This window comes from Homo sapiens, chromosome 5, assembly GCF_000001405.40.
Source record: "Homo sapiens chromosome 5, GRCh38.p14 Primary Assembly".
NCBI lineage: Eukaryota > Metazoa > Chordata > Mammalia > Primates > Hominidae > Homo > Homo sapiens.
This window is the reverse complement of record NC_000005.10, coordinates 58,839,514-58,863,539: the sequence shown is the minus strand read 5'-3', so window position 1 is coordinate 58,863,539 and position 24,026 is coordinate 58,839,514. Positions and strand designations below refer to the sequence as shown.

At 38.5% G+C, this 24,026-nt stretch overlaps 1 protein-coding gene across 2 annotated transcripts in view; it reads right to left on the bottom strand.

Annotated features, from left to right (window-relative positions):
• Nucleotides 1-4,145: 4,145 nt before the first annotated feature.
• RAB3C (RAB3C, member RAS oncogene family) overlaps nucleotides 4,146-24,026 on the bottom strand; it is a 277,243-nt gene continuing 257,362 nt past the window's right edge. For both annotated transcript variants that reach the window (NM_001317915.2, NM_138453.4), the window contains exon 5: nucleotides 4,146-12,376. In NM_001317915.2, the coding sequence (NP_001304844.1) occupies nucleotides 12,189-12,376 (188 nt within the window). In that variant the 3' untranslated portion in view covers nucleotides 4,146-12,188. The remainder of the gene's footprint in view (nucleotides 12,377-24,026) is intronic.

The following is a 24,026-nucleotide window of genomic DNA, read 5'->3' as shown; positions in this document are numbered from 1 at the left end:
GGCTTGTTCTCCATTAGATGACCCTGTCTTTTGACTTTTCTGTTCTATGAATAGAGGCAAGAGCAAAAAGATGTTGAAGAGTATGCTAATTTATACTTGCTCTAAAGTGATATTGGCCGTAGGGAATGCATCACACCTGGTGTATCCCAATGAGTGGAGAAAAAAAGTTTAAAGGAGCAGCTGCCAACTTTTCAGAAACACGATCACCTTCCCTCCTCCTGCAAACAGGTTTGTGATTTGGTGAGATTTAAAATCGCAGCTCAGTTTGGCCTGCCAGCCACTTAACTGACTGCTTTCTGGATTCTATTACATTAACGATGTATCCATCACTGTTGAGATGAGATAGTCTTTTTCTTGGTGAAAATCATAAGAAATAAATAAATAAATTTAAGTGTCTGTCACAATATGGACCTCAAGAAAGATAGCTATTGTTGATTTCACTATTAGTGGTTGTTGCAAGCTCCATGCCCTACAGATAAGTAAAAGTATCAGGAGAGGACAAAATCAATTAGCTTGAGATAAGTGCATAGGAAACATTAATAAGATGCATAGGAAGGGGGTAGAGGAGATAGGAACAACAGTAGAAAGGAAAAATAAGACTTGGATGGAGAAGATAGCAATTTTTGCTTGTATCTTCAAACTCTACCTTTATTGGCTTTTAAAAACATATAGGGATATATAAGACTCTTATATGGAAATAAAACCCTCCTTAGACTACCCTCATTCAATAACCTTCTCTTTTATTTTTCTTTCAAAGTACCTGAAAGAATAGTGTCTCATCTTGTTCATCACCATTTACTTCTCCATTCAGTGCAATCTCTCTTTCTCCCTCATAACTACTCTAAAACTGCTTCGGTCAAGTTAACTTCCATCTTTTAAAAAAAAATTATTTTAGGTTCAGGAGTACATGTGCAGGTTTGTTGTATAGGTAAATTGTGTGCTGTGGGGGTTTTGTGTACAGATGGTTTTGTCACTCAGTAACAAGAATAGTACCCAATAGGTAATTTTCCAATCCTCATCTTCTTTTCACCCACCACCCACAAGTAGTGTCCTGTGTCTGTGTCCCTAATTTGTATGACTGGCAATTGTGATTCCACTTTACATCATCCAAAAATATGGATCACTCCTTCTTTCTTAAAACTGGCTCCTCTCTTGGCTTCTTGTGTCCCGTTCTCACTTGATTCTCCATCCATCCCTTTGACCACTCCTCTTTCAAGTCTCTTTGTGAACTTGTTTTCCTTGGCTGCCCATAAATATCGTGTGCCCTAGTTCTCATTCTGCTCTTCTATCATTTGAGACATTCTCTTGCACGTCATTTTCTCTACTCCCCAAGTCTTAGTTATCATCTACATACTAGAACTTTCCAGAACTCTCTTCTGAACTCTAGATCTGCACCTTCCAGATGTTCACTGGGTTGCATCCTTTGCACATCCTCTAGAAATATCAATCACAACACTGTGGATATGGAACTCATTCTCTTTTCTTTAAACCTACTGCTACTGTTGTACTTTCTCTCTTAGTTAATGGCAAAATCAACCAAGCCAGAAGCCTGAGGGTCTTCTTTGGTTTCTTCCTCTTCCTCTTCCCGAATCTTACTGGTCACCATTTCTTACCTTCTAAAGTGAACTTTCATGTATTCCCTACTCTTCATTTCTATCATTCTGCAATTAATTTAGAGATAAAACTTCTAGGTTACTATAATAGCTGTCTAATACTCTTTCTGTTTCTGTTATTGCCTCCCTTTAATTCATTTCTCATATTGCCAATTTTGTGATCTTCTAAAATTCAAATCTGTTCAAACTTCTACCTGGCTTAAATCTGTTCATGAATTCCCCACAGCTAGAGAATGAAATCTAGACATTTAAAGCATTTCTGATAAATGTTATGATCTCAGCCCTCGCTCTTTCTCCTTTTGTTTCATCCTGTGATCACCCTATGTGAATGGCTTTGAAATTCCATAAATACACCATGCTTTGCTAAACTTCCGTGGTTTGCTCCCCATGCTTGGAGCAGTCTTCTCTCACATCTGCCTCTGCATAATTCCTACATCTCCTGTATGTTTTAGCTCAGTCCTTGTTTCCTCTAGTAGGCCTTCTCAGAACATCCCAGCCCTTGCTTTCAATCTGGATTAATAATTGCTTCTCTCTGTGCTTTCACAGTAGCTTGTGTTTAACCTCTATATTGACACTAATCAAATTATATTGTAATTGTCTGCTTGGTAGAATATTGTTTTGAAATATTAATCCAGATTTTCATCCAACACTCACTTTCCATATATTTTCTATACCCTTTGCCTTTCTTCCACTTAGCAGAATTGCTTTAAGGGAGAGGCAATACTTAAAAAAGAGAACATAATTTTTAGATAAAATTTCCTGAGATTTAGAATTAATAAACAATGAGAAATTCTAGCTCAAAAGGACTCAGGTCATTAACAATAGATTAGGAAGAAAAGATGAGCAGGCAGTCTCTATCAGACTAAAGCTTCTTTGGACTGGGTGAGGGGTTGAGAAGTTAGAGGAGAAAGAGGAGAACCAAGAACCAAGAGGTGGAGTGTCCCTGAGAACTGTGCAAAGACTTTGTGGCCTTTTATATAGAAGGTGTCCTTTTCAAGTCTGTTAGGAAGTTGAGGAGAGAATGACTTAGCATTTTCTGAGGGTGACAGATGTTTTCTGTTTCATGCCTACTGTCTCAATGCTATTGAGTAAGTGGCCACATAGTAACTTCATGTTTTAAAATTAATTTTAAAAAAGCTAAGGGCATATTACTTGAGGGAATAGGGTACAGGCAGATTCCTGCTAAAACCAGTTGGATCTGGTTCTGCCACAAGAGCCTCAGAATAATCAGGAAACATGTGAAGTCTTTCTGGGCTCTTAATTTTTTTTTTTAAGTTTTGAACTGACTTTTATTGATTGTTATATATTTATCTGGGGGCAAAGGACTACAGTCCAAAAAATGCATTTTACAACATTTCAAAGAGGAAATTTTTGTGAGCTCTTTTGAAATGAAACAAATTTCCAATGTTCATTTTAAGTATTTATTAGACATATATATTAAGGAATATTTAGTTTATCAATGATGAGTTTTTTATTGATATTAACTTACACATTTTCCTCTATCACAATGGTTTAAGTTCATGGAGGGTCAGGACTCTATAGTATGTATTTTCATGTATACTGATAAATACTGATAAATTACTGAAATACTGATAAATACTGATAAATACTGATAAATTAGCATTAGAAGGCATTTTGTAAGTATTTGTTGATAATATAACTGGAAATCCCTTAATTTATTATCATTGTTTTCTTTTTTTTTTTTTTTGGTTTCTTAAGTGCTACTTGCTTTGTCTACCCAGGGAGGTTACCCTTCTATTACCAAGTTCAGTTCAGGAAGCTAATTTGACCCATGGGACTCATGTGGCTCTTCCAGGGACCTTCCCCCTTGACTGATTTTCAGTGCAGACTCCTTCCTGGAAATTGCCCTGAGGAACATTTGGAAGAAATTCCATAGAATCAGTGCTGTTAGTACAAGTAGAATGCTACAAGATTGCAAAATTAGTAGTAGGTCTGCTGTGATACAAATAGATTGGTAGCTGGGTGCTTCCCCATGCCTTGAGGCCCATGGCCAAGGAGATCCTGCACGGCATCCTAATCATCACTGCACCAAGCACTGTGCATTAAATGACACCCATTCCATTCACACATCCCATCCACATGTTTTCTCTGTTGACCGCCCTTGCCTCGGGCTATGCCAGTAGGGTGCTAAGTGATCATCAAACCTTAGACTTTTCATTTAGGGACACATGGTCTTCAAGTTGCAGACCTGAAGACCTTTATCTCCCTTAGCAGCTATTCTTGATCCTACAGCTAAGCTTTGTAACTCTGGAACCCAGTCAGTTGGGTCAGTTAGAAAGTTATCGACCTTGAAAGATTACAAGTATTAGAATTCATTCCTGTGCCTAAGTCCAAATTCATGTGTGAGATACTCAAAGCCCTAAATGTGTTCACTCTTCATCTTCAGTTCAAACTCAGTGTTGTACCTAAGATTATAGAAGTGGGAGAAGAAATGGAAATAAGCATCCTAGGATGAAAAATAATATGAATTGAAAGGAGATGAAAAACATTAATCAGACTAAGGCTAAGAAATTCAGGAATATAGTCTCTTAGATATTTATTGTAATCTTCAAGAAATAAAACAAACTCAAAGAACAAAAACCACTTTCTTTATAGAATTCACATACAAACTGAATACCTAATAGAGCACATACCATTTTTACACAATTAATTTCAATAAAGATAATTAAAACTTCACAATGTGAATACACTTCATAGCTTTAAACCCACACAAGAGCTCCTGTGGACACATGAAGAGTCACAATATTTGCTATGCAGCAGTAGTTTTCAACTAAATGTCGGTCACTATATGAAAGCATTAAGCTGTTTTCAATATTTTCTTAAGAAGAGTTCCACAGTGCAGTCACTGAGAAGGGGCCAAATGTGCCTGGTTCCAAAGGAAGATCTTCATCTGTGCATTTCCAATGCCCTTTATGGGAAACATGGAGCTACAGAAAAATCTCTGGGTACACATCTGCCAGGTGGCATTAGGTCGGACAATCTCTCATGGTTTGGTGCACTGGCAAATGTCTAAATCAACTGCCGTAATATGGCATTAAAGCAATTTGCATATTGTGGCTGAGTCTTGAGCTGCTCAGCACAGAGGAATATGATAATGCAACAGCTTGTCTTCCTCACGGAGACTAAAAGGTAGGGAGCTAAACTGGGGTAATTTGAATGGTTTCAAAGGGCCAGTTTGGCTGTCTTAAGAAAACAATGATCTATAGCTGATAGCTTTGTCTCTCTTCCATTCAAAGGAAACATAACTGTGGCCTTTCCCACTTATTTTCCTGGCACAATCTCCTCACTACCTAATTCTTTCCGGAATTATGTTTGACCTCTTCAATGGAGCCCTCTCTGACTCTTCCAGTTCTTACAGGTCCCCCATTCTCTGTGTTCCTATACCCTGACATAACCTAGCATTTAGATTATATCTGGATTTTTCCCCCTTGTTCTCATTAGGGGCAGGAGCCATACCTCTTCCATGTTTGATTCCCACAGCACTGAGCATATGAGGTTCAATAACTATGTGACAACTAACTAAAATTCAACCACACCCTTAAATTATCATTCTAATATTGGCTACCTGCTTCCATTTTTTAAAAAATTTGGCACAAAGTTGTCACTAATCTCCCTATTTTACCCACCTTCACTTGACTTCTTCAGTGGATTTTGAGAGCTAAGAACAAATTTCAGTCTATCACAGTTACATTCAGGCCACATATCACCCACATAGACCAAATCCATTTAATATGATTGGCACATCCTCACATGTCAATCTCCAGCCAAGCACCATAGAGAGAACTGAAGGTTTTATATGATGAACACATGGCCATGGTCATCTAGAACCAACTGTCTTGCATCAATTTTAGTGAATAAGTCATAACTTGTTTTTCTTCCTAAGGGTTTCATGACTTACTCCACTAACTGAATGAAAAGGCAAAGTACAATATTAAAATGAATGCTTTGCCTTAGAAATGGCAAGTAGGAGTTTAAGACGGTTATTCTAATTTAAAATTCACATACATAAACATTTATAGCTTTTCGTTATCTAGCAACTAGGCTTCAGTTCTTGATTTTGCATCTCAGTGAAGTTCCAGGCCACCAATTAGCATTAAACAAGGGAGTTTGAGGATGAATATATGAGTTTATGATGGCATTACAAAGTATTTAATGATTCTGATTTGTTCCTCTTATATCACCAGTGTGGACAACTGAGAATTGAAAGTGAATACAACATTAGCTACAACCTAAAAATACATTGGTATTTTAGAATTCCCAGGGTTGACAGTGTTGAATTTGTAAATAAAATACAAGATTGAGTAACAATAAAATATACATACAAGTACAGAGGTGAAAATTCTTAGTAGACATGTCATGTGATCAACCTTTCTGAGAAGAAAAACATGACTTTTCCTAATGCACATAGTTTTTCTTAGGTATCTAAATTAGTTGCTTAAAAGTAAAATGTACACTTTTATATGACACTTAAAGAAAATTTTGAGTTATAGAAGGAGATGCTTTTATAAAATAAATGAACAGCCATTCTGTCTTGACAATAAAATCCACAATTCTAAGAGATAAAATTGACACATATTTCCAGATACTAAATGTTTGGTTTTATAAGAAAAAAGTATTTTGAAGTAGGCACAGAGGGGTTTTACATGACACCAATAAGATATTTACTGTATAAATTGCACCACTAGACAAATACAGCTACAAGAAAATCATTTGAATAAGTCACACAGCTATCAAAGCATCTCACACATTCATTATAATTCACTCTTTCATACTAGTTTATATACACTGAGTGAGTCATTAAATATTGCACTTATTGGCCCATGAACCCTCAATTCTGAGGTGTTGAAAATAGAAAACAAATCTATTTTTATAACATATTTCATGCAACATTTAAGACATATCAGTTCTACAAACACCATTAAATTGTTGTACATTTGGACAGTCTAACGGTATCACATCACGTCTGACATTAACAATATATTAACAGGAATTACAGGACAGTTTTCCTTTAGCACGTATCCTAGGGATAATGAGACAATGCATGGAAAGCCATCATATTGATACAGCAAACAATACCCAAACTTTACTTTTACAAGAAGTATGGAACCACTTGACAGATGTAAGTCATGCTCACGTCCCTGAAAGGGCAGGTGTCTGAGGGGCTCAGGTACCATCTGTGTCTGTAAGAACAGCATTCACGAACCTAAGCAATACCTAGCCCCAAATAACATGAATGCAAAATAATTTGCCTCAAGAAATAAAGCCACAGCCAACTCTCACTTGTCCACGATGAAGGAAATATTAACACAGGTGAATGAAATACACAGGTAACCTCAAACCTCATTTCAGCAAGTAATGACTGTTTGAAACTCCACCAGTAATGGTTGCTGATGGGAAGTAAATGGTGAAATTTGAGTCTCATTTTCTATTCTTGGTCCTGTCATTCCATGAGGATAGTGTTTTGAAAAACTGCAGTAATTTAAAAGAAAGTCAGAAAGTAAAAGAGAACTGCAAATAGAAAGTTCAATTTGTCCACTAGCTAGATGGTCTGATCTTAACACTCGAGCTCTGAGTGAGGTTTTAAAATGACTCATTTCTGTTATCTAGAATGCTTGCAAAATTTATTTCCCCTCCACTCTCTCTGTTTGGAGGAAATTAATTACATGCACAGACTAATCAAACGAAATCAGTGTGAAGAACCGATTTTATGGACCTTATAAGTAAGATGTGAGTTATAGCTGGAACATAGTAAAAGCTCCCTTTTCCCTAGCACTGAGAAAGCACCATAGATGGAATTTTGCCTTCTTAAAAAAAAGTATCAGTGTTTGCCTGATACCTTTGTACAGGCGAGTGAGCGTGTGAGTGACTGTTGAGAAGGGCAGCACTGTATGTGTAATCTAAAAGCAAATATTTCAATCTATCAAAGGGAAATATTATTTGACCGGAGTGTCAAGCATTTCTGTAAATATTTTTAAGAAAAAAATTATTTGTGAAATACCAGTAACAATAGGTAGATACATTTTAGATAAATCCCCCAACTTGGTTTTTCCCTGTTAGGGGGTACTATATTTCTACAACCTAGAGCCCTTTAGATACAGTGCTGTGCAGGGGTAAAGGCTTTTTTATTCTGGTCATAAACTTCATCTTTTACTTAATTTGGCCCAGTAAATTCCATGATATAAAACAGGTTTATGTCTTTAATTGACTTTGGTCAAAAATTCACCTAAAATATGAAGAACTCCCAAAAGCTGGCTCAAAGGTTCAGCATATCAGAAAGACTTCACCATTTTACAGGCAAACTACTAAAGCGAAGGTAATCAATGCACACAGGCAGAGCTGAGCAGAGCTGTAGAGGTTGCATTTTCCAGGGAGTGACAGAAAGGCCACATGGGTGTAGTTGCTCATGTGGCACCCGGACAGCACACTAAGTGACTATACACGCAAAGGAACAGAGTTCCGGGTTCTAGTCATGCAAACTGTAATTGTGAGAGAAAGGGTTCTTCAGACGGACAGGCCAGCTCTGAAGTATGCCACACCAAAAATAACTGATTGAGCATTCCAGTAGTACTATGAAGATTATTAACAAACACACAGTAACTTTTTGGTCTAGAAGGGTTTTAGTTATGACTTTTTTATAAATAAGATTCATATCACAGTTTTTCACATGCAGGTGTTACCTACCTCAGCTTGGTATAGCTTGGTAGTTTGGATATGCTTTTAATATAGTCCCACAAATGCCACACTGTTAACTAAAATATCACATAGTACATCCTCAACCATGCACTAAGATACATGTTGGATAAAGCACATCACAATGAACCACTGATTATGGACTACCATGCTCTAAAATTAATGTTGCTTCATGGAAGTTCAGTTAATAGTGGAATGTATTTAACTTTTAAAAGAGAAGAAGAAGGTTGTATATACCCGAAAGTCTATCGTCAGCATAGATGTATTTAAAATTGAAAGTTTAAATTGGTTCCTTAAAAAATAACCAGTGTACTAAACAAAAGGCCTATAATTAATATGAATAAGATTTAAGTAGGTGAAATATATATATTTGTTTACTGAGTGTTTTGATGTCTTGTATAATTTGGGTTGTAACTTTGTAGATTTTGTTTATTATCACAATGCCACAACTTTCTGCTACAACTGAAGGCATTGTCATAGTTTTCTTTCCAAGTAAAAATCTTAGCACTTAGTTACCAGGCAGCAAAAAAATACTGAACTTCAAGTGACCCTAAGGAGGAACTAGAAGAACCTCCTAGCTTTCACAGTCATTAGAAGTTCATCAAGGCAGTTGGAGCTGTTCACTGGGGGCAGCAACAATGAACTGATTCATTGTCCTGAAGCAATTCCTCTTATGAGCATGTAGATGCGATGCTAACATTCAAACTGCCATCTTAGGACGCTTTGTGCACCTTCTACTTCCATCCCCATCTCCAAAAACTGAAATGCTGATTCACTCTGAGGATGGCTATTTAAGTCAAATAATTTTCAGTCTAATTTTTCAGTTGCATTAGGAAAAGAAAGGAAGGTACCAACACCAAAGCTCTTGGAAGAATCGATTTGGAACAGTTCAGGTTTATTCCTAAGGGTATCTAGAGGAGTGAAAGTGGTCAGGTAATGAGTAGCAAAGGAAAATAAATTCATACTTAAAACACTAATTTAATTAAATCAAAGACAAGAGATAAATGTGTATAACTTACAAACCAACAGGAGTATGTACTTTTTAAAAGTCTTGTTCTTTTAAATATAAATTTAGTTAGGCCATTGATAAAAATGACCTGCATTTATTTATGTATTTAGACTATTGATAGATGATGGTATAGTGTGTGTGTGTGTGTGTGTGTGTGTGTGTGTGTGTGTTGGCCAAAAGGCTGAAAAACCTTGGAACTATAGTGTTATAATTTATAAGTAACATAGCTCAATGCCAATGAAAGCCCACTTAGTTAACCTTGGGTTGGTCCCACCATTTGCCAAATTTGATGTTAAAACCCGGATTTTTTGATGCAATTACAGCAGGAGCATTTAAGTGTTCTTTCTCTTGAGCTCTGTGACTGTTTCTCTGGAAACCTCTCATTGAATTATTTGGAATGGAAATCCTAACAGGGTGGGAGTTTCAGAACTGAGAATCAATGAAAAAGGCCTCACTTCCATTGGGGTTTAGAAATTAGAAAGTATCAGATGTTTCTTGGCAATGACATTTGGGCTATTGTTGCCTGTCTCTCCCCTGACTGGCATAAAATGTTTCCACTTCGGGATGTTTGACACTGTGTAAGTGGGAGCTTGGCTTAGGGCTTCCCATCTAAGGGCCAATTAACTTCAACAGCAATCAGTTCTTCAGGGAAGGGGTTTTCAGCAGAGCAAAACTCTGCTCTTTCACTTTTAAATACTGTCTCATTTTGCTTTTCATTTTACCACAATACACACATCAAGGTCCTTCCTTCTGAAAAAGCCATCAGAATATTCTTTCTAAGCTTTTTACATCTATGTGTGGGATGAGGGCTGTGAAGGAGGATGAGAAGGGTTTCCTGGCTTTATTAGTTCCTTTTAGATTGTAAAAGTGAGCTTAATAGCTATATCATTTAACATGGCCACATTCTGGCCCAAGTTACAGAAATATTATAACATTGTACAAACAGACTACTGCTACAAACAAATCTGTTTTTATGCCTCCTGCTTCTTTCTCTCCCGTCACTGTAATTCCTGTGATTTTGAAGTTGGTTGCCCCATTAAAAACTAATAAAACATTAATGTTTTCTTGTCTTTACTATGCTAAGGTTTGCTTTGTAGGGCACCAAAGTAGAAATGTACTACTGATTAGTGGATCTTCAACTAGGAAGGTGAGAAATAACATGGAAATGCTTAAAGCATTCCAAATGCTCTCTCCCCTAATTTCCAACTTTTGACTTACTAATGTGTGTGACCTAGTTCTGTGACTTGTAAGGATTTATTCTCCAAAGATATCTTTAGATGTATGCCTGTTTCATTTGCATCCAATACTTTCATGGGAAGCCTCTCTATTTTTGAGAAGAGGAAAAAAATTCTTTGACATAACCACCAAAAAAGTAGAAAGTTCACTTAACGAAACTATCCTTCCAAATCTGCCAAATAATTCCTGCTTCCTTCCTAAATCCTAGCTTTAAATAATGCTGGACAGTGATACAGAGGCCAAATTTCCCTGTTGCTCTCTGTACAGCTGGTAGGATTTGTTGTTTTCTCTTTATTCATATAGGTCCTTTAGGAAGTTTGTGATACAAAATTAGAATGCTCCAGTGGTTTCCTCCCTCTTTTAAATTGCTATGGATCCTAAATATTTCTGAAATTGAAATACTACAGTTATAGAATGTTTCCTGTGTAACTTAAGCATTCACGTAATAGGAATATGCTTTAGAATTTATGAACATCTGGACTTAAAAAGATGATTAAAGATTAAAATTTTCCTTTTTCTCAACTGGGGACCCTTTGAAATCTGATTTAAATAGCATCTAAACAGGTAAAAGAACTTAGCTGAGGTTTGAGAAGATGGCCGTGTTTGGGGAGGCAAGTCTACATCCTACGGAAAGAGGAGCCCTAACAAGCTTCAACATAAGCTCTAGTCCAAGAGTTGGTGATGGTTCCAGAAAGTGATGGTGGTGGTGGTGTGCATTATGGGGGTTGGGGAAGGCAAGTCATTGAAAAATAAGGGGGCTTGGACCTTGGAATTCCATAGCTACTCATACCCTTCTTGGTTAAAATGCTTGTTGCATAACTGGCATTCAGTAGATATGTCTCAATCTGTTCAATGATGTTGAATATTCACAGAATTGGGAAGGATCAGTGGAAAAAGCAGTCCTGGGTAGATACTTGCTTATTTAAATGTGTAAACGAAGATTATTGTTAAATAGCCCCAGTCAGGTAATATTAATGACTTAGGAAAATTGCAAGGACCTTAAAAACAACATTTCAATTTCTTTATAGGCCAATGATCTCAGTTATTAATAACAGTGAAATAAAGACACAGTTCCCAACAGTAAACTGACCAGACTCGTGACAGCGTCCCTAATCATGAGAAAAACTTCCATTTGATTTTCAACTAAGAGTAAAGCAAATGAAGTCTTGTGACTTCTTCCTCTGCACGCATGCGGGCATGCGTGCACACACACACACACACACACACACACAAGCAATTCCTTGGTCATCATTCCTACAAGTGAATAGCATAATTTGAATCAATGGGACAAAAGCCAGTTGTAGTGAGATTATAGTCTGATGTCCCAGAAGTAGTCTGAGAACAAATTTGAAACAAAAAGAGCCTAGCAGACAAATAAATAACAAGTCACATGCAGGTACCAGATGTTTATAGATGGATAGTCCTTATAAATTTAAGATCACATATTTGCCACATATTAAACAGGAAAGCTCCCAAGAATTGAATGCGTACGAGCCATTGACATCAATTTATTCCTTCAAATAATTGTTAGGCAGTATAAATGAAGGCTAATAGACCATTTACAAATGCTGTTTGTTGGCAACCAGAGCCCCCTGGAGCTGCCTGTGTGCACGGGGACACTAGCAGGCACAGTTGGGCTGCGGTGGAGGAGGAGTTTCCTTGAGTCTCGTGTTCTGCTTTGCAGCAGTGATGGCAGGATCAGTCTCCAAACTCTCTGACATTTTGTCGCAGATGATATCCACAAGGCGCTCAAATGTCTGCTTGACATTAATGTTGTCCTTGGCACTTGTTTCAAAAAACTCAAACCCTGGAAGAAACACACAGAAACACATCTTGGTTATTTTGCATTTCTGAAATTAAATGGGACTTGATTATGGCTTTCAATAGTGATGAGGTGATGGTGAGACATCAGTGGGTGGTAGGTTTGGGGTAGGTAAGAGATTAGAGGTGGGCATGAGGTACCATTTAAGCAAATGCTACCATCTCTTACTCCATTAACCATGAACAAAAGAGTTATAAAGTGGAATTGGTGATGTTCACATTTTATTTTTCTCTGTTGATTCATTTGCATTATCAGCATGACTGAATAGATTAAAAATATTCTATTGCAAGAGTTAGTAATGACAACAGTAAGAATCCTCAATACCAAATCTATCTGTAAGAATCTTCAACACTAAATCTAGATTTTCCATCCCTTCCCTCAACCCCTAGCGCACCATGTAGACTCTTGCAATCTTTTCATGGCATTATTTGGCATCTTATTCTGTTTTTATTTCCAGATTCTACCAAAATTTTTAATTTCAATTTTTTAAATCAATTTAAAGCTCAGAAGGCTTGGTGTGCATATTCTGCTGTAAAAGGGAATACCAAGCTCCAATATAATCCAGCTCTAACTTTTCCATGTCTGCCCTGCTGCTGCCTAATGATCGGTCTGAGAGTGGGCTTCTAGTAAATTGTCAGTATCTAAAAGGACACAAGATGGCACTGAAGAGTCATAAGATTTACCTTAAACCTGCTTCAACCTCCTTCAGAAAATTTTTGAGTAGTGTTATTCCAACAGCCCTCCAGGGCTTTGTATACCTCTGCACCTATCAGCTGGGTGCTGATTTTTCCATAGCTTCTGTTATCTATCAGCAGGAATGTTTTTACCAACATCTGGGAAAGGGCACTTGGTAAATTTCAAATGAGCTGCCAGAGATTGTTAAGAAGTTACAAAATGCAGCAACAGTTTCACACTTTCACCTATGTGCCACTGTACCTGGGCAGAAGCAGCCTTAGTATGCTGCTCTGTACACAGTCTTATCACTCTATTGTTTGCATTCACATTCCACTGGCTGAGCTTGCCAGTCAGTTGCCATGACAACCTCCCCACTAGGCCAGCCAGAGATTGCTCTGGTCCATTCAGGGGACGTTGATTTAGGATGTGTTGGGCTGAACATAGAAAGGCTTTTCTAATCCATTCTGAATTTTACACCCTATAAATCCTTCTGGTTACATCTGGCCCTATCTCAGAGGAGCCGCATGGATTCAAAATGATGAAATCATGTGATTTCATCCCAGCTCCTGGGGCCAAAGGAAAAAGAACAGATTAATATTTTGCATCCATGTCAAAATCCCTCAAATAACCTAGAAATACTTATTTTCTTAAATAGTATTGAAGCTAGACAACAAAAGGCAAGTGTCGTGAGTTAAAATCTCCAACTTAGTCGTTATACTATTTGGTTCAATGACTACATCTGAGCTTGAATTTCACTAGCTACTCTCGTTAAAATCCACATGAATAACTGCAGGATTGGGGTTGAAGAACATCAGTAGAGTCAAGGTTCTATAAAATAGAGCTGGATATTTCAAACCATTGTGGCTTGTATTTTTCTTTCCTTTTGTCTCTCTGGACAATGCTTATATGGCTCTCTTATAGTCTACATTTTAAAAATCTGCAGATAAGGCCATCTGGTGTTAACAGAGCTCTCTTTTATAATGTTTGTGCAGTCTTTAGAGCTAGATCGTTCAACTTCCAGTAATTCAATCCAGATTTGGGGAAAGGCAAGCATGGATCTAAGCAAGATCCTTGTTGCTAAGATATCAGAACTATTGGCATGCTTGTGGTGATTTTCCCAGACCTAATGGGAGGATGCTTTATGTCATAAGATACCAAGAACCCACTGAAGAATTCAAGATCCCTGAATGAGCCTTTGAAGAAAAAACATCCAAGAATTTGGTACAAAGGTCTCATTTACAAGTTCAATTTTTTCATCTCTTTTGCTAACACTTCTTGTACTTATTAGTATGATTTGGGAAGTCACTGAGCTTGAACGGTATCATAAAAGATTTAGCCATTATGAAAAGATGATAATCCACACAAGGTTTTATCAAATGTGACTCCTTTACCCTGGGCATCTCAACACCCTATCATCATATTGGTATACAATTTGAGGTCAGTAAAATTATCTTTGATCTCAGAAGCCAACATGATCTCAGCTTCTCAACCTTAACTGGAACCCTAAGAATATGTGGCTATTAAAGAGACAATGTGCCAGAAATAATGGCACCTATTTATTCAGCATGCTGAGAAGGAGACATCATGATATGGTGAGAGATAGATTATCAGTCAAAAGATGTGGGATCTAGCCCCACTTAGCAACACTTCTAGCTTTGGGACCATGAACAAGTCACTTTAAAAAAAATCCTTAATTTCCTTATTTATGACATTTGCCTTACTTAACTTACAGGGTTATCATGAGGCTAAAATGAGAAAAGATAGGCATAAGTGCCAAGCAAACTAGAAAATGCTATGATAACAACAATAGCAATAATAAACTAACATTTGTTGAATGATTACTATATAATAGGTACTATTCAGAGCATTTTATACATTTTAACTCATTTTATCCATTAGTAGGTACCATTATTTTCTCCAATTTACTGATGAAATAGAGGCAGAAAATGGCTCCGTAATTTGCTCAAGTATTTCGTTGCTCAGCTAGTAAATGGCAAAGCTGGAACATGAACTACTAACTTGTACACTCTCCTGCTTCTCCAGATACACTGAAAAAGTAAGCTACCATTTTGTTTTGGCTAAATTGTAAGTCCTATGTTAATTAACAATCACAATATACCATAAACTTTCATCAAGTTAAATAATCAGAAAATAATTAACTAGATTTAACACTGCCAGTAAACCAAATGAAACAATCTTTCTTGGTGATTCCAAAAGTACTCTGATATCTTACACTGCTCAAGATTCATCAAGATGGTCATCATGACAGCTGTATTTCTATACAGAATTCTAGATTTATAGATATAAAAATTTATGGAGGCTGGGTGTGGTGGCTCATGCCTGTAATCCCAGCACTTTTGGAGGCTGAGGCAGGTGGATCACCGAGGTCAGGAGTTCGAGACCAGCCTGGCCAACATGGCGAAACCCTGCCTCTACTAAAAATACAAAAATTAGCCAGGCGTTGTGGCATGTGCCTGTAGTCCCAGCTACTCAGGAGGCTGAGCCAGGAGAATCGCTTGAACCTGAGATGTGGAGGTTGCAGTGAGCTGAGATCGCACCACTGGCACTCCAGCCTGGGTGACAGAGCGAGACTCCATCTCAAATAAATAAATAAATAAAGGTTCTGGAAATTAAAGTGCTTCTCATTGACCAGATATGCTGGGATCTCTTGTCATAAGTTTGTCATAAAATAAGATATTCAGGATCAAAATCAATATCATTAGTATTTTAGCATTTAGTAGTTTAGATTTGGGGTACAGGGATGTTTAGAAAATCAAGTGGGGCTTGATTTTCTATCCAAGCGAATCAGTCTTTTCATTCAATCACCTGTGTATGAGGATGCTCATGCCCTCAACTGTGTGTGCCCATGGGTGCTTAAAGCTCATGGCCTAAGTTATAACCACTAATGCAACCACTACAGCCTTTGTTCTTTCACTAACTCAGATTTTATGGCTGTTACCTCCCAGTATCTCTGTATTTTGAGATCAGTTCTCAGTATTTTGAGCTTGTTCTGAGAAATCTTTAATCTCCCATTCGTACACACCAACGTCAGTGGGAAGCTGGATCAATGATACTTCAGAAACAGAGTCTTATAACTTTGAAGATCACTTCCAATCTACTGGGTAGAAGAGTGTGGTTCAGCAAGATCAAATAAGTAGCCCAAAGTCACACAGCAAGCCGATTGTGAAGTCTGACAAAGACCTCCTGATAAATAAGTTACTGATTTAGCTTACAGCCTTGAACACCTGTCTCTCAGACTACATCATCCAGAATTAGTATTTTCAGCTCATGTAGGTTTCTTCATCAGCAAATCAGTGAAGCCTTTCACTTAACTGTAGAAACTCTGATCATTCTTTCTCATCCTTCCCTTAACAAAGCCTTTCTAATCTCTTTGGCAGAGGCAGGCGGCACTGTTCGTGAGATGCATGAGCTTTGCACTGTGGTCCAGCACATCTCTGTTGTAGGCTTCCTCATGCCTGATCCTGAAAGGGTCACTCCTACCCTTTCCAAAAACCACTACAGGTACAGCGGGACACTAATCCCTTCAGGTTCACCTGATGTTAGGGACCAAATAAAAGCTTGGAAAGGTTTTGTTTGATAAAACATGTTAGCTATGCTGAGGAAAGAGGAGCAGAAGCAAAAGCCAACCTGTGTCCTCTTCATGGTGGACACTGAAAGAGCAAGCAGAGAGAGGCAGTGTAAGCCAGACTACACTCTAGTGACAAACGGCTGTGATTCTACACCCTGACTTCATAGGATTGGAGGTTCACCCTCATTAGAATCACCTAAATTATGGGCTGGGTGCCATAGCTCACACCTGTAATCCCAGCACTTTGGGAGGCCACGGTGGGAGGATCGCTTGAGCTCAGGAGTTCAAGACCAACCTGGCCTACATAGTAAGACGCCACCTCTACAAAATATACAAAGATTAGCTGAGTGTGGTGCCACAATCCTGTAATCCCAGCTACTCGGGAGGCTGAGGTGGGAGGACCACTGAGCCTGGGAGGTCAAGGCTGCAGTGAGCAGTGTTCACGTCACTGCACTCCAGCCTGGGTGACAGAGCAAATCACCTGAAGTGCTTAAAAGTTTCTGAACTCCACTCTACACATACTGAACAATGGGAATCAAGAGGGGTGTATGGGGCTTCAGAATATGCATTTTTAACAGGCTCCTTGGGAGGTTTCTTACGCACATTTAAGGTTAAGATTTACCCTCCTCTGTACACCCATGTTCAGAGCAGCATTATTCACGATAGCCAAAAGGTAGAACTAATCCAAGTGCCTATCAACCTATGAATGGATAAACAAAATGTGTTATACATAAACAATGGAATATTATTCAATTTTAAAAGAAAGGAAATTTTCACACGTTATAACATGAATGAACCTTGAGGACATTATGCTAAGTGTAATAAGCTAGTCACAAAAAGACAAATACTGATTCATGCTACAACATGGATGAACAGTGAAAATAGTATTCCAAGTGAAAAAAGCCTGACATAAAGGACCATATCTCATATGAGACCATTTTATAAAAAATGCCCAGAATAGGTAAATCTATAAGACAGGAAGCAGATTAGTAGCTTCCTAGGCTGGGGTAGAGAGTGAGGGAAAAGGCAGAGTGAATGCTGATGGGCAGGGGGCTTCTTTCTGGGGTTATGAAAATATTCCAAAATTGACTGTGATGAAGGTGGCACAGTCCTGTGAACATACTAAAAACCACTGAATTGTACACTTCAAATGGGTGAATTTTATGGTATATGAATTATACCTCTATAAAACTATATATACACATATATACATATATGTATACCTATATGTATATATATGTATATATACATATACACACACACACACACACATATATATATATATATATAGTAAGAATCACTGTCCTAAATGAATGAGAATGTACGTTGCCCTTAGAGATTTTTCTGAGAAACCCCATGGCCGATTGGGGAAACCATTCTGGTGACTGGCAGAATCCCCTACCACAAAATGGTTCCCATGCTCAACAAGAACCCTTCTTACAGGTGTTTAAATCTAATCCTTTTTGCTCTGGTCTCAATGGAGATGAAAGAGCAGCTGCTTTTCAAGGAGGGCATTCTAATACCTTCCGGTGCACGTGAAGAACATGAACCCACACTTCCTGGCTGTGGCGCAGGCCTGATTTGCCGACACTCTTCTGTCCACTTTGCTCCCAGGAGGTCCTTAGAGCAAAGGAAGCCTCAGAGAAGGCTGAGGCCTTTTCACATTGATACCCACAGGGCAGCAAGCAGGGCCTTAGGCCAGAAGTGTGCTGCTCACTGAGGTGGCAGGCTCCAGGATGTCACTCTGGCGCTTGAAGAGTACTGGAACGTCAGAGCACCCTAGGGGACTCCATTCCACATGTGACTGCATTGTGTTAATGGTAATAATCACAATCACAGTATTGCACACTTAACCACCTCTTCCCCCGCTTTCTCCAGTGCATTACAACAATCTTACAGGAAACACTTGATTCATTTCCACCCATCAATAGCTACACCATATTGTGAAATGCCATTTGTTTTTATGAGATGTTCTGCGGCACTGTTGCTCCTTTTTTAACCCCAGGGAAACATCGCTTGGGGCACTCTGATCTTTTAAACTTTACTTTGAAAGAAAAATCACAAGTGATATTTTTTTTTCTGTAGAGAGGAAATAGCCACTAAAGTCACACTGCAATAAATTATTTTCATCTCCAATTGTTAAAAATCTGTGATTTGTTCTTAAGTTTCTATTCCCAAGCTCCTAAATGAGAAAATCTTCTTTTTCCAGATTCTAGTTACAGTTGCAATGTCTTGTCTCCCCTTTCCTGTGGAACTGGATGGGCCAGAACTGCAAGGAAAGGTCATTCTGCTACCGGGTGGGTGACATTTGAGCCAGAAGTAGGGATTGCTGAGCAGCAGGACAAACTGGCATATTAGCTCGTCCTCTACTGGGCCCCAGCCCAGAGACAGGCTTTAGGAAGAGAAGTGGGAGGTAAGGCTTTTGATCAATTTGCCTGAAGAAGGGCCAAAATTGCAGACCAAAGCTGTAGAAAAGCAAGAATAGGAGCTCAACCAAAGGCTAGTGCTACTAAAAAAATGGTATTTCAGCCCCTGAGTCTGTGTCTTTAGCCAGGCATGACCAGATGGTAGCATTTTCCTACTTCTGTTAGAATTCTGAAACTATGCAATGGTCAGTCTATGGCCTTAACAAATCCTGGTCCATAATATAAGAAGATGGACATTAGGGATGTACAAAGGTTAATCACCATGATCTAATTTCAGAACATTGTCATCACCCCCCAGAAAGAAACTTTGCATCCAAAAGCAAACACCCCTCATTCCTTGACCACCTCCATACTACGTGTGTTTTGCTCCGCAATTAGAATGTACATTCCACTGTGCTTCTCCATATCTCTAGAGATAGTAACATAGTGCCCAGCATGAGCAGGTGTCCAGTAGATGTTGGCTAATTAAAAGGTTTTTTTTAACTTTTGAAATTTTTGTGGGTATATAGTAGGTGTATATATTTATAGGGTTAATTAAAGAATAGATTTCTGTTAATTGGCTGGGAGAAGTAGTGGGGTTAATGGGGAAATGGAGAGAAAGAGAATCACTTTTCCTTTGTTTTTAGTTATGACGTGACTAAACCAGTGAACAATTCTGTCAGCCATATCATTTTTAGATGGAGTTTACCAAGCATGGAATTTCACAAAATATCGTTTTGGTTTTGCCCTGTGGGAAATTTATGATATAAAACAAATTAAACCAGCTCTATTTACTCACAAGGAAAGACATATTTCTGAAAAAATTTGAAGAAATGCAAGATCGTTACACTTCAACACCTGAACTAAGAACTATTAAAGTGCTGAGAAGTCAATGTTCTGTCATATTGGTTTTAATAAAGAGATAAGGATCATTTATGATTGGCAGAGTGGCTGCTTATATGCAAAGAGTGCTAAGTGTTTTAAAAGAGTTTTTTCTCTGAAATGGGTTAAATATAACCTTGTAACTTCTTAACATTTCAATAGGCTTTCAATGATAAAGGAGACAATTTCCAGCTCAGCCTATTTATGAATTGTCAACAAAAACATTGATAACTTCTGTCTGTTTAGGATTTTCAGGTTACAATAACATATGCATTATCAATTAGGAAGTTATTTTTGCTGTGGAGGATACATATGAAATAGAGCAAATAGTGTAATACATTTTTAATTACTAGGGCCCAAATGAATGAAATTTCATTGTGATATCAAAGGATATGGAATCTTAAATGTAACTAACATTTATTAAGTACATACTATATGCACATACTACGCTAGGCCTTTTTGCATTTATTTTCTAATCCTGTAACCAGCCCCATGAAGTAGATGACTTTACAAGGCTCATTTTACAGTTGCGAAAATGGTTGAGTCACACACTTGGTAAACCAGGACAAGATCTAAAATCTGACTCTAAAGTCCACACTCTTAACCTTTGTACATCCCTAATGTCCATCTTCTTATATTTTGGCAGTGTTCCACTAGCTGTTGGCTTCATTTACAAGTTCTTGGGATTTCTTATCCTTTCTAATATGTACTAATATCTGCCAATTCTTAAAATCAAGAAATTCTTCTCGAGGTCTATATCTACCTCCTTTCAATAGTAACACAGCCTAGACACAGAACACTATGTGAAGCTTCATACAAATGATTTTACTTTATATAGTGACAAATTCTGAAAGTCGTAATTAAATCATCCCTTGTCTTGATGAAGTTTGAATATGGAAAAGGAACTCTCTCCAGAAGCAGCTAGCTTTTTCACTGAACTCTCAAGGCAGAGGATGAGATGATGATGAATCTTTCTTAGGATGGCTACTTCCTTGTCAAATAAAGCCAAGCCATGCAAATGCCAGTTAAGTAAAGTTAAGGGTAAAATAGAGACAATAGGGCATAGTACCAAGATTTAGTGGAGAAAACTATTCTAATGGCTTACACGGATGAAATATCATGGGTCAGTCTGTACACAGCTGAAAGCAGGTGCCTACAGGCATCAAAGAGAGTATATCTTTGGGATTTGGGATTGAGACAAGAAAAAGTCATCCACTGAGAATAAAGTTATTAAGTAAGTGCCACAAAGTCCATGAGATTAGCCATCTGCAGAAGGAATTCACTCCAAGATAGGATGAACAAACGATTTTCTGGTGAGAACAGCACACTTCTCAAAATCCATCAAGGGACTAGAGTGTCTTCCAAATTTCTCAGATGGAGGGTAAGACTTCTCTTTTATCAGTAGTCTAATAAATGATAAAAATTTCAAGGTAAAACCATTAAAAGAAAATGGAGTTGATTTGTGTGAAGTCAAGGAAAAAAAGAGTCAAGGATTGAGATTATTTACTGCCCAGTATGGTCAATGGGGAAATGAGAGGATGCCTGCATTGAGTTGGCTGAGTATACAGGTTTACTTGCTCTGTATCCCAATAAAGAGCATTGTACTTACTCAATGGTATCCCTTAACATCACATGCCTGGCACATAGTGAGAGCTCAATAGGATAAGAAATACATGAGTAGAAAAGGACCAAGGCAAGGAACAGACAGCTACGATTTGTCAAAGGGAGAATGCTAAGTGCAGCAAGAGACTGCAGACACACATAGGGTGATTTGAAATCACCATAGGGCTGTGTAGAAGCACCCAATCTCTGCAGACTTGTCTATCCAAACTGGATCAGATCTGCCTGGAGTTAGGAAGGACTTTCCACTGAAGAGAAAATGTAAAATGATCCCCACCAGCCCCCACTGCCACCACAAACACCTACAGTCCTTATAAGAGGAGAATCCCAAAGCTCTTGCAAACCCTAAGCCCATTTTGGAGAGCCGCTAGGAATTCATGCAGCTGTATTGCCCTGTAGCAGGAGCACAAGGTTTGCACTCCCCATACCTCACACCCCTGTGAGCCAAGCTTCTGCAGCATAGCACCATCTTGAGACCAGAGCTACCTCTGGGGTCCACCCTTCTCTGGGGGCCAGTATCTACTGCACCTCTCCAGCACTGGGACTCCATTTTATTTCCAACAAGCTGATACAGGTAGCTGAATGCCACAACCCCAGCTGTGCAGAGCCTGGGCCCAGAATCAGCTATGACTCTGGTCCTGCACAGCAGGGAAAACAACTCCTGTCACTACACTTTCAGCTGGGGGAAGAGTATAGCAATCTTGCCCAGGGCAACTCTACTCTTGAGCCAGCCAAACTGCTACATGCCCTCCCCTAAATGGGAGAGGACCTGAGTCTCTGAGCAGCTGATCTGCCCCTGGCCAGCAAAGTCGCTATGTGACCGTGCTCAGGACCTGAGAAATAGCCCTGCAGTGCCCCTGCCCCCTGCCCCCTGCAGACATGGCTGTGGCCTACCCAATGGTCCTGTACTCTCCATCAGTGCCTAAGAAACAGCCTTGCAGGTTGCCCCTGGTGGGCATACCCCCAGGCCAACTGAAGAGCCTTGCACCTGCATGTAGACCTGAGAAATAGTTCCACGGACCACTCCTGGCAGGCACAATTCTAGGTCAGACAAGCAATTGCATGCTTGTGCCTGTGGCAAGAGTAACAGTACCATAGCTCCAACCCCAGTGACTCCAAGTTAGCTAGCACACTGTGTGCATATATATGCCTCCAACCTGAGAAACAGCCCAGCAACCCCAATCCTACAAAGCCACACCACTGGTGCCACAGACTCTCTCAGCCTAGACCACTGAGAAACTTGCTTATGCTACTAGTATGGATTATAGCTGAAGAAACTACATGGAGAGTACACTGTTGCATCCACCTAGAAGCAAAGCCAATGTACTCTACCAAACCAATACCCTAAAACTCATTCATATGAAACCTACTTCATAAAATTGGAAGAAGTGACTTTACCACGTGCATAGAAATCAGTGTAGGGACACATCAAACATGAGAAAGCAAGGAAACAAGACACTGTCAATGAAAAACAGCAATTCTCAAGTAACAGACCTCAATGATAAGAAAATGTGTGAAATCCCAGAAAAAGAATTCAAAACAATAAACTTAAGAAAACTGAGATACAAGAGAATATAGGCAATTCAATGAATTCAGAAAGACAATTCATGATTTGAATGAGAAATTCGACAAAGAGATGGGTATCATTAAAAAGAACAAGACAGAAACCTTAAAGCTGAAGAATCCAATGACTAAAATAAAAAAATTACCATTGAGAGCTTCAACAACAGACTAGACCAAGAAGAAAAAAGAATTTCTGAAGTTGAAGACAGGGCTTTTGAAATAATATAAGCAGAAAAAAAAAGAAAAAAGATAAATAAATAAAGCCTACAGGACTTATGGGACACTACTAAGTGAACAAATATTTATATTTTCAGTGTTTTGGGAAGCAGAAAAGAAGGGAAAAGATGAGGATAGCATAATTAATAAAATCATAGCAGACAGAGAAAGCATCAAGTCACATATAAAGTAACCCTCATTAGATTAATAGTGAAATTCTCACAGAACCCCTATAGGACAGGAGGGAATGGAATAATATATTTAAAGTACCAAAAGAAAAAAAAAAACCTCCCAACCACAAATATTATACCCAGCAAAGCCATCCTTTAGAAATGATGGAGAAATAAAATCTTTCACATAAAAGCAAAAACCAAGGAAATTCATCATTACCAGACTGGCCTTACAAGAAGTGTTCAAGGAAGTCTTACATTTGGAAGTAAAAAGATGATAAATGACATAATAAAAACTTGTGAAACTATAAAACTCCCTAGTAGAGGCAATATATGAAGGAAAAAAGAGAAAGGAATCAGGCTGGGTGCAGTGGCTCATGTCTGTAATCCCAGCAGTTTGGGAGGCCGAGGCGGGTGGATCACCTGAGGTTGGGAGTTCTTGACCAACCTAACCAACATGGAGAAACCCCATCTCTACTAAAAATACAAAATTAGCCGGGCATGGTGGTGCATGC